Raw genomic sequence first — 16,833 nt, forward strand, 5'->3', positions numbered from 1 at the left:
TGAATCATAACTTTCGCTTGGTGGCTGTTATGTGCTTAGCACTGTGCTAGGTATTGGACATACTGGGCCAGTGAAAGGATCTTTATAAAAGAGAGCTTTTTGAAAATAAATGTATTTAACTTATGCTGATGTCTTTCTTTCAGTTGTCTTTCCAGAAATTAAGACAGGCTGATGTTGAGCCATCCATGCACTCCCACGTAATGTAATTAGTTACCTACCAGAGGGGCGTGGCAGCTGAGTCAGAAGAGGTGTATGGAGCTGTGGGCAGCTTGGGATTTTTGTTTTGTTTTTAAATTCTGTTTTCCCTGTGTGTGTGGGTATGTGTGTCTGTGGTGAGAACATGAAACTCTACTCTGTTGGTAATTTTCAAGTGTACAGTGTATTGGTACTAACTATAGCCACTTTGATGTTCAGTAGATCTCTTGAATTTATTCCTCTTGTCTAAATGAAATTCTGCATCCTTTTAAAACTCTTTTTAAAAAAACTCTTGAAGCCAACTTGGCTCATGCTGGGATTGAACAGTTGTTTCTTTAGCACTGTCCATCATATACTGTGATGAACAGGAGGAATATTCTGTCTTGATAGGCAGAGCGATTCTTTAAATAAAGAAATGAACATCTAAAAGACAATGCTCCTAATTAGTGGTTCTCAGACCGAGGCGTTGACTATCTTGCAGGTGATCTCATCTGTTACAGAAATATTGTTCATAATAACATCGTGATGATACTCCACATAACATCTTTATTGTACTTATAGTTTTCCCCTTTTGGCAAAACATCACCATGAATCTAAGTCAATGCTGGTGACTTGTGTGGAAGTTTTTCCTTTGTCTCTTTTTACAAAATCAAGTAGAAGATCATGGGGGAAAGTGGACCAAGAATCGGAAAGGACTAAGAAGCCCTGGTGTGGGAGACCTCTCTGGGATCTTACTGGCCCTAATATGTTCATTATTGGCACGTATTTATTGTGCACAAACCATGAGGTGGTTGAGTGCTGGGATGTAGAGATAAATGATCTGGATGCTACTCTTTATATAAATATCAGTGCAAATCATTGTGTTATAGTGTAGTAGGTGCCTTAATCATGGTAAGATGACTGGGGTTAAGAGCATCTGTGCATTCAGTCTTCACCACTTACCTTCACTTTTGACCTTGGGCAAGTTTCAACTGTGAAATAGAGCTTATAATACTTAGCTTGAGGAGTATTTGTGAGGGTCAAAGAAGCTAATCCAGGCCCACAGCAAGCACCTATGTGCTAGCTATTGACATTATTTTCTGGAAGGTTGCCCTGTCTGTTAACTGGCAGCTGCCATCTGACCATTTCCAATGTGATTAAAGTGGCAAGTCTGGAGTGGAACCAAAAGCTACCGCATGTAGGTGTGAAAATGAAGTTGTGCATGTTTCTGTGTGTTTTTCTTTTTAGCAGGAGTGGTTGAAGATCCCTGTGTGGGGGCGGACTGTCCCAACCGAACTTGCGAGCTGGGCAATGGCAGGGAGCTGTGTGGCTGCATCGAGCCACCCCCCTATGGAAATAGTGAGTGACATGGGCCACCTCCCCACCCAGAAAGGCCCCATGGGAGATGCTGCTCTGGGGAACGACCTTGATGCATCCCACTTTGTGAAGCTTTCCCAAATAGTGAAGCTTTCAGGAGCATTTAAGCAGAACAAGGAAGCAATCTGACTGCTTCAAAGTACAGCTACATCCTTTTCTTCAATACATTATAACACACAAATTTGTACATGAATGGAACCAGCCGGTTCCATCTGAGGCCACATTCAACATCAGAAAGGTCCAAATTGATCTTTTAGATGCGCAAGGAAATAGGGTATTTTGATGCCAATATGAAATAATTAGGACGAATGTTATTTAAAGCCAGATTTATTTGACCCAAAGTTTTTTGGTCCTGAAGATATATACAACTGAAATGTCTGAAGCAAGCCATAAATAACTAGGACTCCAGGACTTGTTCCTAACTGTAGCTCCCTTGGTGTGGAAATGGCCTTGTCCACTGCCGAGCCTTCCTGGATGGCTGCTTGAGGCAGAACTGCTTTGCCTTCCATCTCTGCTCCCCTTCCTGAACCAAATAACGCAGAGGCAGTTGCTAAATTTAACAGCATTCGGGAATGAAAATCTGGTTGACCAAAGGCTCCTTAGGAGGGGACAAGGGCTTCACCTAAACAGATAAAATGTTTTTCTCTGTTTCTGTAGTGCTTATTAGCCAGTGTTTATATGCTCAAGAGAAAATGTCAATCGGTGCCTTGCCATGTCAAAAAGCAAGCTCCTAGTGCTCACCTGGGAATCACTAGGGTTCTGCTGAGCTGAATCAGCAGGGGCTTCAGATGTGGTCTGGCCAGTGCTGCTGTCCCTTGGAGGCATGTTCTTCAGCCAGGCCACAATGTGCCAGATTTGGCATGTTCAGTATGCAGCTTACAGAAAAGTAGCTGCCACCAGCAAGGTGGGGGAAGACCTGGGTTTGTAAAGAAAAGACAGAAGACACTTTATTAGCATTTTTATCCTTTTAAAAAGGCTCTGCTAATGCCCAGGTTACTGCTTTGAATGAATTCATATGCTCATTTGGTTTGATCAAAGCATAATTAGAAATGCTGCAGCCTTGGAGTGGAGGTCATTTGCCTCTTCTAAAGGAGAATGGAAATGGGATGCTTTGCTCCCACTCCTGCAGCAAGACCGACTCCACTGATTTGCCTTTCGTAATAACTGTTCCCACAGACTCACATGACATTATCGATGCAGAGGTGACCTGCAAAGCAGCCCAAATGGAAGTGTCCATATCTAAGTGCAAGCTCTTCCAGCTCGGTTTTGAGAGGGAGGGCGTGAGGATCAATGACAGACAGTGCACCGGCATCGAGGGGGAAGATTTTATCTCCTTTCAGATCAACAACACCAAAGGGAATTGTGGAAACATTGTGCAGGTGAGAAAAGCAGCAGGAAAGAGCACCTGGCAGAGGCAGCGACAGCTTCGAGTGTTTGCACATTTATTGTCCTGAAAACCAACTTCAGGGTGATCTGCTTAGAAATATGCTCCTTAGAAAACAGCAATAGGCATGTGCAACATGAAAGACAGCAAGAGCAGTCATCATTTGATGCTAAGTGATTGACGGAGTTGAAAGAGTGATGTGTTTTTTCCTTGGTTTGGGATGCCTACTGTGGTTCTTTCTCCTGTATATGGACAGGATTGTGTCTTCTTTTCTGCTTCTATTGCTCTTTGAGGCAAATACATATAGGCTTAGCTATTTCAGGGGGTAAGGGAGTCCCGAACCTCATTTAACAGGTGGCTTCAGGCCAAGTGCTATGGCTCATGCCTGTAATCCCAGCACTTTGGGAGGCCAAGGCAGAAGGACTGCTAGAGGCCAGGAATTCAAGACCGGCCCAGGCAACATCGCAAGACCCTGTCTCTATTTTTAAAAAATCTAAAAATTAGCTGGGTGTGGTGACAGTGCCTGTAGTTGTGTCTACTTGGAAGGCTGACATGGGAGGATCATAAGCCCAGGAGTTCAAGGCTGCAGTGAGCTATGAATGTACCACGGCACTCCATCCTGGGTGATAGTGAGACCCTGTTGCTAAAAACAAAACAAAACAAAACAAAAAAACAGCTGGCTTCAGAAATATAGTGAGGTCCCAACTTTTAATGTCAGATTATCCAGTGTATAGGTTAGCAAAGTATCTTGTTTCTCTTCTTTTTCCATCTTGCTCTGTGTCTTCTATTCATGGCTCTATTCCTTAAAACTTTTACCAGAGGCTGAAAGGAGTAAGGAGGTGAAACTTGCACTTGTTCATGTTGGTCCTTGTAGGCATGTCTGGTGATGGATTTGGTGGAGAAGAGATTTTGAATTAAGCATTGAAAAAGAAGATTTCTATTACCCAGCAATGGCAATAGTTCATGCTATTCCTAGCTTGGGGTCCCACAGATAAGTGGGGTCTGGTAGTGGTTAGAATTCAGTAGTAGATGAAATCACCTTCCACGGGTATTCAAGGTTATCAGACTGAAGGGTGCTGCTGATATCTATTGTAATACTTTTTTTTCCCCCAAGTAAATGCTAAGGCTAGCTCCATGCTGATTTATACTGGCCTCTAAATTATGTATGGAAGGAAGCCATTTCTCCACTTTCAGGGATATGGATTTGATATGCAAGCTACATACTCACTCCCAGATGTAACGATTTCTGACTTCCCCTTGTTCTGCAGTCCAATGGCACGCATATCATGTATAAAAACACACTCTGGATCGAAAGCGCCAACAACACTGGCAACATCATCACCAGGGACCGCACGATCAATGTGGAATTTTCATGTGCTTATGAGCTGGATATCAAGATCTCCTTGGATTCTGTTGTGAAGCCTATGCTAAGGTAAGGTGTCTCCTGGGCTGTGCACATTGCTTTTTCTATTCCTTGACAGTTAAGGTTAGCATAATCAAAATTGCTAGCGTTTGTCTTTGATGCCCTAGGAAAAACATAATTCACGTTTCTTGAGCCTAAATGCTTTCAACCAACATTGTTCAATAGAACTCTCTGTGACGATGGAAATATTCCATCTGTACTGTTTAATGTGGTGGCTACATGTGGCTGCTCAGCACTTGAAATGTGGCTCAGGGGGCTGCGGAATTGAATTTTTAATTTTATTTAATTTCATTTCATTTAAATGTAAATTGCCCCATGTGGCTAGCAGGTACTGTATTGGACAGCACAGCCTTAGACTTTGCTACTACGTGCTTTGCTTTCCCTCTGCATTCTCAGCCTGAAAAATGGTAGGTAATTGAATAGGTAACATTGTTTTGGATTCCTGTCTCATAATTGTTTCCGTTTTAGTGTAATTAACCTGACAGTTCCAACCCAAGAAGGCAGCTTCATCACCAAGATGGCTCTCTACAAAAACGCCTCCTACAAACATCCTTACCGCCAGGGTGAAGTAGTGTTGACGACTCGAGATGTGCTGTATGTAGGGGTTTTTGTGGTTGGAGCTGACGCCACACATTTAATCCTAACACTCAACAAATGCTATGCCACACCCACCCGAGATAGCAATGATAAGCTCCGATATTTCATCATTGAAGGAGGGTGAGTAGCCTCTTTATAGACAACATTCTCAGAGCTTCAGGTATAATATTGTCCTCATCATTTTTTAAGGAAGGGAATGGAAACTAATATTTGTTGGCTGCCTACAAGGCCAGAATTTTGCATTTATTAATTCATCTAATTCTCAAGACAACCTATGAGGTAGATATTATAGGCCTCATTTTACAGACAATCAAGTAACTTGCCTAAAGTCACACAGAAATATATTGGTAGGTACCCCACGTCCATGTGGCATTAACTACAGATGCTTTATTCTCAAAGTGGGGATTCTGTGCTGTTTACTTTGAACTTCAAATTGGGAAGAATGTGGAATTCTGCAAATGAAAGAATGTAATGACAATAACCACAGGTTAATGAACAAGGCATCTATAAAAATAAAAAAGAAGTTAACCTAATAGCCTATAGACTCAACAAGTTTCTGTTTACTCACCACTGTATGCTTACCACTTAGTATATTTCCTGAAACAGTGATACACAACAAAAATTCTCGAATGAATGAATGAATGAATGAGAAGAAAAGACTGTAGACCAACCACAATAATTATCTTTATTAAAAACAAAAATACTTTCTGGTTACATTAGACAGTTTACATTTATTGCAATAGATTTTATAACAATTCATTTTAACAGCTTTATTGCAAAGATAATTTATAATACAATTTACTTGCTTTAAGTGTAAAAATCAATGGTTTTTGGTAAATTTGCAGAGAATTGCAATTATCACCATAATCTAATTTTAGAACATTTTTGTCACTCCAATAGTTACTATTTATATGAATTTCTTTTAAAAATGTATTGATACATTTACATATTTATGGAATAGATGTGATATTTTGACACATGCATTAAATGTGTAGTGCTCAGATCAGGGAATTTAGGATATCTATCACCTTGAATATGTATCTTTCCTTTGTGTGGGGCATTTCAAATCTTGTCTTCTGGCTATTTTGAAATATACAATAAATTGTTGTTAACTATAGTCACCCTACTGTGCTATTGAACACTAGAACTTATTCCTTTTATCTAAATGCACGTTTGTAGCCATTAACCAACCTCTCTTCATCCCAGCTTCTTTCCCAGCCTCTGGTAACTATCAGTCTACTCTGTACTTCCATGAAATCAACTTTTTAAGCTCCCACATGTGAGTGAGAACCTGAGATATTTGTCTTTCCCTGCCTGGCTTATTTCACTTAACATAATGACTTCCAGTTCTGACCATGTTGTTGCAAATGATAGGATTTCATTTCTTTTTAAGGCTGAATAGTATTCCCTTGTGTATATATATCACATTTTCTTTATCCATTCATCCATTGATGTATACTTAGGTTGATTCCATATCTTGGCTATTGTGAATAGTGCTGCAATAAACATGGAAGTGTAGGTATTCTTTTGATATACTAATTTCCTTTCCTTTGGATAAATACCCAGTAGTGGCCTTGCTGGATCATGTGGGAGTTCTATTTTTAGTGGGGTTTTTTTGTTTTGTTTTGTTTTGTTTGGTTTTGTTTTGTTTTGCTTTGTTTTGTTTTGCATGTGTGTGTGCGTGTGAAACCTCTGTAGTGTTTCCCATAATGGCTGTACTCATTTCTAGTCCCACCAGTAGTGTAGAAGAGTTCCCCTTTCTCCATATCCTCACTAGCATTTGTTACTTTTTGTCTTTTTAATAGTAGCCATTTTTACTGGCATGACATGATATCTCATTGTGGTTTTGATTTTTATTTCCCTGATGATTAGTAATGTTGAGAATTGTTTTTTCATATACCTGTTGGCCATTTGTATGTCTTCTTTTGAGAAATATTTGTGTAAATCCTTTGCCCAGTTTTTAAAGAAATTATTTGTTTTCTTGCTGTTGAGTTGTTTGAGTTTCTTGCATATTCTGGATACTAATCCCTTGTTGGATGAATAGTTTGCAAATATTTTCTTTTATTCAACAGGTTGTCTCTTCATTTTGTTGATTGATATCTTTGCTGTGTAGAGACTTTTTAGTTTAATATAGTCCCATTTGTCTATTTTTGCTTTGTCGCTTGGGCTTTTGAAATCTTACCCATAAAATATTTGCCTCAACTAATGATGAAGCATGTTCACTTTGTTTTCTTCTAGTAGCTTTATAGTTTCTGGTTGCACATTTAAATCTTTAATCCTCTTTGAGTTGATTTTTGTTTATGGTGAGACACAGGGGTATAATTTAATTCTTCTGCATATGGATATCCAGTTTTCTCAGCACCAGTTTTTGAAGAGAGCATCCTTTCCCCAATGTATGTTCTTGACATCTTTGTTGAAAATCAGTTGGCTGTAAATACATGGATTTATTTCTGAGTTCTGTTTTGTTACACTGCTCTATGTGTCTGTTTTTATACAATACCATGCTGTTTTGGCTACTATAGCTTCACACTATACTTAAAAGTCAGGTAGTGTGATGTCTCCAGCTTTGTTCTTTTTAGTGAGTATTGCTTGGGCTATTCAGGGTCTATTGTGGCTTTATACAAATTTTAGGATTTTTTTTCTATTTCTGTGAAGAATTTCATTGGTGTATTGATAGGGATTGCATTTGATCTGTGGGTTTTTTGTGAGTAGTATGGTCACCTTAACAATTTTAATTCTCCCAATCCATAAGCATGAGATACCTTTCCATTTGTCCTCTTCAATTTCTTCCATCAGCGTTTTGTAATTTTCCTTGTAGAGATTTTCACTTGGTTAAATTTATTCCTAGATTTCTCATTTTTTTGTAGGTATTATAAATGAGATTGCCTTCTTGATTTATTTTGCTGCTAGTTCATTATTGGTGTATAAAAATGCTACTGATTTTTGCATGTTGTTTTTATGTCCTGCAACTTTACTGAATTTGTTTATCTGTTCTAAGAGTTTTTGATTGAATCTTTAGGTTTTTCTGTATATAAGATCATGTTATCTGCAAAGGGACAGTTTGACTTTCTGTTTCCCAGTTTGGATGTCTTTTATTTTTCTCTCTTGCTTGATTGAACTGGCTAGGACTTCTAGTACTATGTTAATAGGAATGATGAGAGTGAGCACCCAGGAATTGTTCCAGTACTTTCAGCTTTTCTCCGTTCAGTATGATATTATCTGTGGGTTTGTCATATATGACCTTCATTATGTTGAGACATGTTCCTTCTGTGCCTAATTTTTTGAGAATTTTTATCATAAAGGGACATTGAATTTTATCAAATGCTTTTTGTGCATCTATTCAGATAATCATATGGTTTTTATTGTTCATTCTTTTTTTATTTTATTTTATTATTATTATACTTTAAGTTTTAGGGTACATGTGCACAATGTGCAGGTTAGTTACATATGTATACATGTGCCATGCTGGTGTGCTGCACCCATTAACTCGTCATTTAGCATTAGGTGTATCTCCTAAAGCTATCCCTCCCCGCTCTCCCCACCCCACAACAGTCCCCAGAGTGTGACGTTCCCCTTCCTGTGTCCATGTGTTCTCATTGTCCAGTTCCCACCTATGAGTGAGAATATGCGGTGTTTGGTTTTTTGTTCTTGTGATAGTTTACTGAGAATGATGATTTCCAATTTCATCCATGTCCCTACAAAGGACATGAACTCATCATTTTTCATGGCTACATAGTATCCCATGGTGTATATGTGCCACATTTTCTTAATCCAGTCTATCATTGTTGGACATTTGGGTTGGTTCCAAGTCTTTGCTATTGTGAATAGTGCCGCAATAAACATACATGTGCATGTGTCTTTATAGCAGCATGATTTATAGTCCTTTGGGTATATACCCAGTAATGGGATGGCTGGGTCAAATGCTATTTCTAGTTCTAGATCCCTGAGGAATCGCCACACTGACTTCTGCAAGGGTTGAACTAGTTTACAGTCCCACCAACAGTGTAAAAGTGTTCCTATTTCTCCACATCCTCTCCAGCACCTGTTGTTTCCTGACTTTTTAATGATTGCCATTCTAACTGGTGTGAGATGGTATCTCATTGTGGTTTTGATTTGCATTTCTCTGATGGCCAGTGATGGTGAGCATTTTTTCATGTGTTTTTTGGCTGCATAAATGTCTTCTTTTGAGAAGTGTCTGTTCATGTCCTTCACCCACTTTTTGATGGGGTTGTTTGTTTTTTTCTTGTAAATTTGTTTGAGTTCATTGTAGATTCTGGATACTAGCCCTTTGTCAGATGAGTAGGTTCCAAAAATTTTCTCCCATTTTGCAGGTTGCCTGTTCACTCTGGTGGTAGTTTCTTTTGCTGTGCAGAAGCTCTTTAGTTTAATTAGATCCCATTTGTCAATTTTGGTTTTTGTTGCCATTGCTTTTGGTGTTTTAGACATGAAGTCCTTGCCCATGCCTATGTCCTGAATGGTAAAGCCTAGGTTTTCTTCTAGGGTTTTTATGGTTTTAGGTCTAATGTTTAAGTCTTTAATCCATCTTGAATTAATTTTTGTATAAGGTGTAAGGAAGGGATCCAGTTTCAGCTTTCTACATATGGCTAGCCAGTTTTCCCAGCACCATTTATTAAATAGGGAATCCTTTCCCCATTGCTTGTTTTTCTCAGGTTTGTCAAAGATCAGATAGTTGTAGATATGCGGCGTTATTTCTGAGGGCTCTGTTCTGTTCCATTGATCTATATCTCTGTTTTGGTACCAGTACCATGCTGTTCTGGTTACTGTAGCCTTGTAGTATAGTTTGAAGTCAGGTAGCGTGATGCCTCCAGCTTTGTTCTTTTGGCTTAGGATTGACTTGGTGATGTGGGCTCTTTTTTGGTTCCATATGAACTTTAAAGTAGTTTTTTCCAATTCTGTGAAGAAAGTCATTGGTAGCTTGATGGGGGTGGCATTGAATCTGTAAATTACCTTGGGCAGCATGGCCATTTTCACGATATTGATTCTTCCTACCCATGAGCATGAAATGTTCTTCCATTTGTTTGTATCCTCTTTTATTTCATCGAGCAGTGGTTTGTAGTTCTCCTTGAAGAGGTCCTTCACGTCCCTTGTAAGTTGGATTCCTAGGTATTTTATTCTCTTTGAAGCAATTGTGAATGGGAGTTCACTCATGATTTGGCTCTCTGTTTGTCTGTTATTGGTGTATAAGAATGCTTATGATTTTTGTACATTGATTTTGTATCCTGAGACTTTGCTGAAGTTGCTTATGAGCTTAAGGAGATTTTGGGCTGAGACAATGGGGTTTTCTAGATATACAATCATGTCATCTGCAAACAGGGACAATTTGTCTTCCTCTTTTCCTAATTGAATACCCTTTATTTCCTTCTCCTGCCTAATTGCCCTGGCCAGAACTTCCAACACTATGTTGAATAGGAGTGGTGAGAGAGGGCATCCCTGTCTTGTGCCCGTTTTCAAAGGGAATGCTTCCAGTTTTTGCCCATTCAGTATGATATTGGCTGTGGGTTAGTCATAGATAGCTCTTATTATTTTGAGATATGTCCCATCAATACCTAATTTATTGAGAGTTTTTAGCATGAAGGGTTGTTGAATTTTGTCAAAGGCCTTTTCTGCATCTATTGAGATAATCATGTGATTTTTGTCTTTCGTTCTGTTTACATGCTGGATTACATTTATTGATTTATGTATATTGAACCAGCCTTGCATCCCAGGGATGAAGCCCACTTGATCATGGTGGATAAGCTTTTTGATGTGCTGCTGGATTTGGTTTGCCAGTATTTTATTGAGGATTTTTGCATCAATGTTCTTCAAGGATATTGGTCTAAAATTCTCTTTTTTGGTTGTGTCTCTGCCTGGCTTTGGTATCAGGATAATGCTGGCCTCATAAAATGAGTTAGGGAGGATTCCCTCTTTTTCTATTGATTGGAATAGTTTCAGAAGGAATGGTACCAGTTCCTCCTTGTACCTCTGGTAGAATTCGGCTGTGAATCCATCTGGTCCTGGACTCTTTTTGGTTGGTAAGCTATTGATTATTTCCACAATTTCAGAGCCTGTTACTGATCTGTTCAGAGATCCAACTTCTTCCTGATTTAGTCTTGGGAGGGTGTATGTGTCGAGGAATTTATCCATTTCTCCTAGATTTTCTAGTTTATTTGCGTAGAGCTGTTTGTAGTATTCTCTGATGGTAGTTTGTATTTCTGTGGGATCGGTGGTGATATCCCCTTTATCATTTTTTATTGCGTCTATTTGATTCTTCTCTCTTTTCTTCTTTATTAATCTTGCTAGCGGTCTATCAATTTTGTTGATCCTTTCAAAAAACCAGCTCCTGGATTCATTAATTTTTTGAAGGGTTTTTTTGTGTCTGTATTTCCTTCAGTTCTGCTCTGATTTTAGTTATTTCTTGCCTTCTGCTAGCTTTTGAATGTGTTTGCTCTTGCTTTTCTAGTTCTTTTAATTGTGATGTTAGGGTGTCAATTTTGGATCTTTCCTGCTTTCTCTTGTGGGCATTTAGTGCTATAAATTTCCCTCTACACACTGCTTTGAGTGTGTCCCAGAGATTCTGGTATGTTGTGTCTTTATTCTCGTTGGTTTCAAAGAACATCTTTATTTCTGCCTTCATTTCGTTTTGTACCCATAGTCGTTCAGGAGCAGGTTGTTCAGTTTCCATGTAATTGAGCGGTTTTGAGTGAGTTTCTTAATCCTGAGTTCTAGTTTGATTGCATTGTGGTCTGAGAGACAGTTTGTTATAATTTCTGTTCTTTTACATTTGCTGAGGAGAGCTTTACTTCCAACTATGTGGTCAATTTTGGAATAGGTGTGGTGTGGTGCTGAAAAGAATGTATATTCTGTTGATTTGGGGCGGAGAGTTCTGTAGATGTCTATTAGGTCTGCTTGGAGCAGAGCTGAGTTCAATTCCTAGGTATCCTTGTTAACTTTCTGTCTCGTTGATCTGTCTAATGTTGACGGGGTGTTAAAGTCTCCCATTATTATTGTGTGGGAGTCTAAGTCTCTTTGTAGGTCACTCAGGACTTGCTTTATGAATCTGGGTGCTCCTGTGTTGGGTGCATATGTATTTAGGATAGTTAGCTCTTCTTGTTGAATTGATCCCTTTACCATTATGTAATGGCCTTCTTTGTCTCTTTTGATCTTTGTTGGTTTAAAGTCTGTTTTATCAGAGACTAGGATTGCAACCCCTGCCTTTTTTTTTTCCATTTGCTTGGTAGATCTTCCTCCATCCTTTTATTTTGAGCCTATGTGTGTCTCTGCATGTGAGATGGGTTTCCTGAATACAGCACACTGATGGGTCTTGACTCTTTATCCAATTTGCCAGTCTGTGTCTTTTAATTGGAGTATTTAGTCCATTTACATTTAAAGTTAATATTGTTATGTGTGAATTTGATCCTGTCATTATGATGTTAGCTGGTTATTTTGCTCGTTAGTTGATGCAGTTTCTTCCTAGCCTCGATGGTCTTTACAATTTGGCATGTTTTTGCAGTGGCTGGTACCGGTTGTTCCTTTCCATGTTTAGTGCTTCCTTCAGGAGCTCTTTTAGGGCAGGCCTGGTGGTGACAAAATCTCTCAGCATTTGCTTGTCTGTAAAGTATTTTATTTCTCCTTCACTTATGAAGCTTAGTTTGGCTGGATATGAAATTCTGGGTTGAAAATTCTTTTCTTTAAGAATGTCAAATATCTTCTGGCTTGTAGAGTTTCTGCCAAGAGATCCGCTGTTAGTCTGATGGGCTTCCCTTTGTGGGTAACCTGACCTTTCTCTCTGGCTGCCCTTAACATTTTTTCCTTCATTTCAACTTTGGTGAATCTGACAATTATGTGTCTTGGAGTTGCTCTTCTTGAGGAGTATCTTTGTGGCGTTCTCTGTATTTCCTGAATCTGAATGTTGGCCTGCCTTGCTAGATTGGGGAAGTTCTCCTGGATAATATCCTGCAGAGTATTTTCCAACTTGGTTCCATTCTCCCCATCACTTTCAGGTACACCAATCAGACATAGATTTGGTCTTTTCACATAGTCCCACATTTCTTGGAGGCTTTGTTCATTTCTTTTTCTTCTTTTTTCTCTAAACTTCCCTTCTTGCTTCATTTCATTCATTTCATCTTCCATCACTGATACCCTTACTTCCAGTTGATCACATCAGCTCCTGAGGCTTCTGCATTCTTCACGTAGTTCTTGAGCCTTGGCTTTCAGCTCCATCAGCTCCTTTACACACTTCTCTGTATTGGTTATTCTAGTTATACATTCGTCTAAATTTTTTTCAAAGTTTTCAACTTCTTTGCCTTTGGTTTGAATTTCCTCCTGTAGCTCGGAGTAGTTTGATTGTCTGAAGCCTTCTTCTCTCAACTCGTCAAAGTCATTCTCTGTCCAGCTTTGTTCCGTTGCTGGTGAGGAGCTGCATTCCTTTGGAGGAGGAGAGGCGCTCTGCTTTTTAGAGTTTCCAGTTTTTCTGCTCTGTTTTTTCCCCATCTTTGTGGTTTTATCTACTTTTGGTCTTTGATGATGGTGATGTACAGATGGGTTTTTGGTGTGGATGTCCTTTCTGTTTGTTAGTTTTCCTTCTAACAGACAGGACCCTCAGCTGCAGGTCTATTGGAGTTTGCTAGAGGTCCACTCCAGACCCTCTTTGCCTGGGTACCAGCAGTGGTGGCTGCAGAACAGCAGATTTTCGTGAACCACAAATGCTGCTGTCTGATCGTTCCTCTGGAAGTTTTGTCTCAGAGGAGTACCCGGCCGTGTGAGGTGTCAGTCTGCCCCTACTGGAGGGTGCCTCCCAGTTAGGCTGCTCGGGGGTCAGGGGTCAGGGACCCACTTGAGGAGGCAGTCTGCCTGTTCTCAGATCTCCAGCTGCGTGCTGGGAGAACCACTGCTCCCTTCAAAGATGTCAGACAGGGACATTTAAGTCTGCAGTGGTTACTGCTGTCTTTTTGTTTGTCTGTGCCCTGCCCCCAGAGGTGGAGCCTACAGAGGCAGGCAGGCGTCCTTGAGCTGTGGTGGGCTCCACCCAGTTCGAGCTTCCCGGCTGCTTTGTTTACCTAAGCAAGCCTGGGCAATGGTGGGCGCCCCTCCCCCAGCCTTGCTGCCGCCTTGCAGTTTGATCTCAGACTGCTGTGCTACCAATCAGCGAGACTCTGTGGGCATAGGACCCTCTGAGCCAGGTGTGGGATATAATCTCCTGATGCGCTGTTTTTTAAGCCCGTCGGAAAAGCGCAGTATTGGGGTGGGAGTGACCTGATTTTCCAGGTGCCGTCTGTCACCCCTTTCTTTGACTAGGAAAGGGAACTCCCTGACCCCTTGTGCTTCCCAAGTGAGGCAATGCCTCGCCCTGCTTCGGCTCGTGCACGGTGCACTGCACCCACTGTCCTGCGCCCACTGTCTGGCACTCCCTAGTGAGATGAACCCAGTACCTCAGATGGAAATGCAGAAATCACCCGTCTTCTGCGTCGCTCACGCTGGGAGCTGTAGACTGGAGCTGTTCCTATTCAGCCATCTTGGCTCCCAACCGTTCTATTGTTCATTCTTATGTGATATATGACATTTATTGATTTGTATATATTGAAACATTCTTGCATCCCTGGAATAAATCCTGCTTGATCATGGCGTATTATCTTTTTGATGTGTTGTTAGATTCAGTTTGCTAGTATTTTCTTGAGGATTTTTGCATCTATGTTTAGATATTGGCTTGTAGTTAGTGTGTGTGTGTGTGTGTGTGTGTGTGTGTGTGTGTGTGTGTGTGGTGTCCTGGTCTAGTTTTGATATCAGGGTAATGCTAGTCTTGTAGAATGAGCTAGGAAGAATCCCCAAATTCCTTCATCTTCAGTTTTTTTTGAAATAGTTTAGGAAGCATTGGTATTAGTTCTTCTTTGTAAGTATGGTAGAATTTAGCAGTAAAGACAACTAGTCCTGGACTTTGCTGAGAGACATTTTGTTCCTGATTCAATCCTGTTATTAGTTATTGGTCTGTTCAGGTTTTCTATTTCTTCCTGATTCAACCTTGGTAGGTTGTATGTGTCCAAGAATCTATCCATTTTCTGTAGGTTTTACAAAGTGTATAGTTGTTCATAACAGTCTGTAATGATTCTTTGTATTTCTGTGGTATCAGTAGTATTATCTTCTTTTTTATTTCTGATTTTACTTGGGTTTTCTCTCTTTTTTCCCCTTAAGTTAGTCTAACTGGTGCTTTATCATTTTGTTATCTTTTAAAAAACCAAATTTACATTTCATTGATTCTTTGCTTGTTTTGATCTCTACTTTATTTAGCTCTGGCCTAATCTTTATTATATTTTTCCTTCTACTAATTTTGGATTTAATTTTCTACTTTTTTGATGTAGGTGTATATTGCAATAAATTTTCCTCTTAGCACTCTTTTTTGTTGTATCTCACATGTTTTGGTATGTTCTGTTTCCATTTTCACTTGTTTTTAAAAATTTTTTTTAAATCTCCTTCTTAATTTATTCATTGACCCAGTGCTTGTTCAGGAGCATGTGGCCTAATTTCTAAGTATTTGTTCAGTGTCCAAAATTTCTCTTATTATTGATTTCTAGTTTTATTCCATTGTGGTCTGAGAAGATAGTTGATATGATTTCAATTTTTAAAAATTTGTCAGGACTTGGTTTTTGGCCTAACATACGGTCTATCTTGGAAAATATTCTGTGTACTAATGAGAAAAATGTGTATTCTGCAGCTGTTGGGTAAAATATTCTGTAAATGCCTGTTAAGTCCATTTGGTCTAAAGTGCAATTTAAGTAAATTTTTTTTGTTGATTTTCTTTCCAATGTTGAGAGTAGGGTGTTAAATTCCCCAATTTTCTTTACTTTGGAATTTATCTCTCCCTTTAGATCTAATAATATTTGCTTTACATATTTGGGTGCTGTGATGTTGGATGGATATATATTTAGAATTGTTGTATCCTCTTGCTGAATTTGTCCTTTCTTCATTATGTAATGATCTTCTTTGTCTCTTTTTACAGCCTTTGACTTAAAGTCTGTTATATCTGACACAAATATAGCTACTCCTGCTTGCTTTTGGTTTTGATTGTCACAAATTATCTTTTTCCATCCCATTACTTTCAGTCTATGTGTGTCTTTACAGGTGAAGTGAGTTTCTTGTAGGCAGCATATATTTGAGTTTTTTTTGTTTGTTTGTTTGTTTTTTTTTTTTTTTAGCTGTTCAACCAGTCTGTATCTTTTAAGTGGGGAATTTAATCTGCTTATATTCAAGGTTATTATTGATAAGTGAGAAGTTATTCCTGTCATTTTGTTTATTGTTTTATGGTTGTTTGTGTACCCTTTGTTTCATTCTCTCTTATCATTTATTATTGTAGTTTGGTGGCTTTCTGTAGCAGTAACATTTGACTCCTTCTCTTTCGGTTTTGTGTATATGATCTGCCATTGAGTTTACACTTTTGTGTGTTTTTATTATGTCATATATCAACCCTTCACTTCTAAATGTAGGACACACTTAAATGTTCTTGTAGGGCTGGCCTGGTGGTGAATTCCCTCAGTTTTTGCTTGTCTGGGAAATACTATTTTTCTTCATTTTTGAAGGATAGCTTTGCTGGGTATAGTATTCTTGATTAGCAGGTTTTTTTTATTTCAGCACTTTGAATATATCCTTGCATTCTCTCCTATCCTACAAGAGTTCTGCTGAGAGATCTGCTGTTGGTCTGATGGGGTTCTATTATATATAACTTGATGCTTTTCTTTCACTGTTTTTAGAATTCTGTCTTTGGCTTTTGTCACTTTGAGTGTAATATGCCTTGGAGAAGACAATTTTTCGGTTGAATCAATTTGGGATCTTTGAGCTTCCTATATGTAGATGTTTATATCTCTTGCAAGACTTGGGAAGTTTTCAGCTA

At 39.2% G+C, this 16,833-nt stretch overlaps 2 protein-coding genes across 2 annotated transcripts in view; both read left to right on the forward strand.

The window, feature by feature from the left end:
- The window catches only part of TBCEL-TECTA (TBCEL-TECTA readthrough), a 167,389-nt gene that overhangs the window by 139,749 nt on the left and 10,807 nt on the right, over positions 1-16,833 (forward strand). The window contains exons 23-26 of the mRNA NM_001378761.1: positions 1,423-1,533; positions 2,728-2,930; positions 4,204-4,367; positions 4,827-5,075. Coding sequence (NP_001365690.1) covers positions 1,423-1,533; positions 2,728-2,930; positions 4,204-4,367; positions 4,827-5,075 — 727 coding nt within the window. The remainder of the gene's footprint in view (positions 1-1,422; positions 1,534-2,727; positions 2,931-4,203; positions 4,368-4,826; positions 5,076-16,833) is intronic.
- The window catches only part of TECTA (tectorin alpha), a 90,248-nt gene that overhangs the window by 62,608 nt on the left and 10,807 nt on the right, over positions 1-16,833 (forward strand). The window contains exons 17-20 of the mRNA NM_005422.4: positions 1,423-1,533; positions 2,728-2,930; positions 4,204-4,367; positions 4,827-5,075. Of these exons, the coding sequence (NP_005413.2) occupies positions 1,423-1,533; positions 2,728-2,930; positions 4,204-4,367; positions 4,827-5,075 (727 nt within the window). The remainder of the gene's footprint in view (positions 1-1,422; positions 1,534-2,727; positions 2,931-4,203; positions 4,368-4,826; positions 5,076-16,833) is intronic.

Source organism: Homo sapiens, chromosome 11 (genome assembly GCF_000001405.40).
Source record: "Homo sapiens chromosome 11, GRCh38.p14 Primary Assembly".
Classification (NCBI taxonomy): domain Eukaryota; kingdom Metazoa; phylum Chordata; class Mammalia; order Primates; family Hominidae; genus Homo; species Homo sapiens.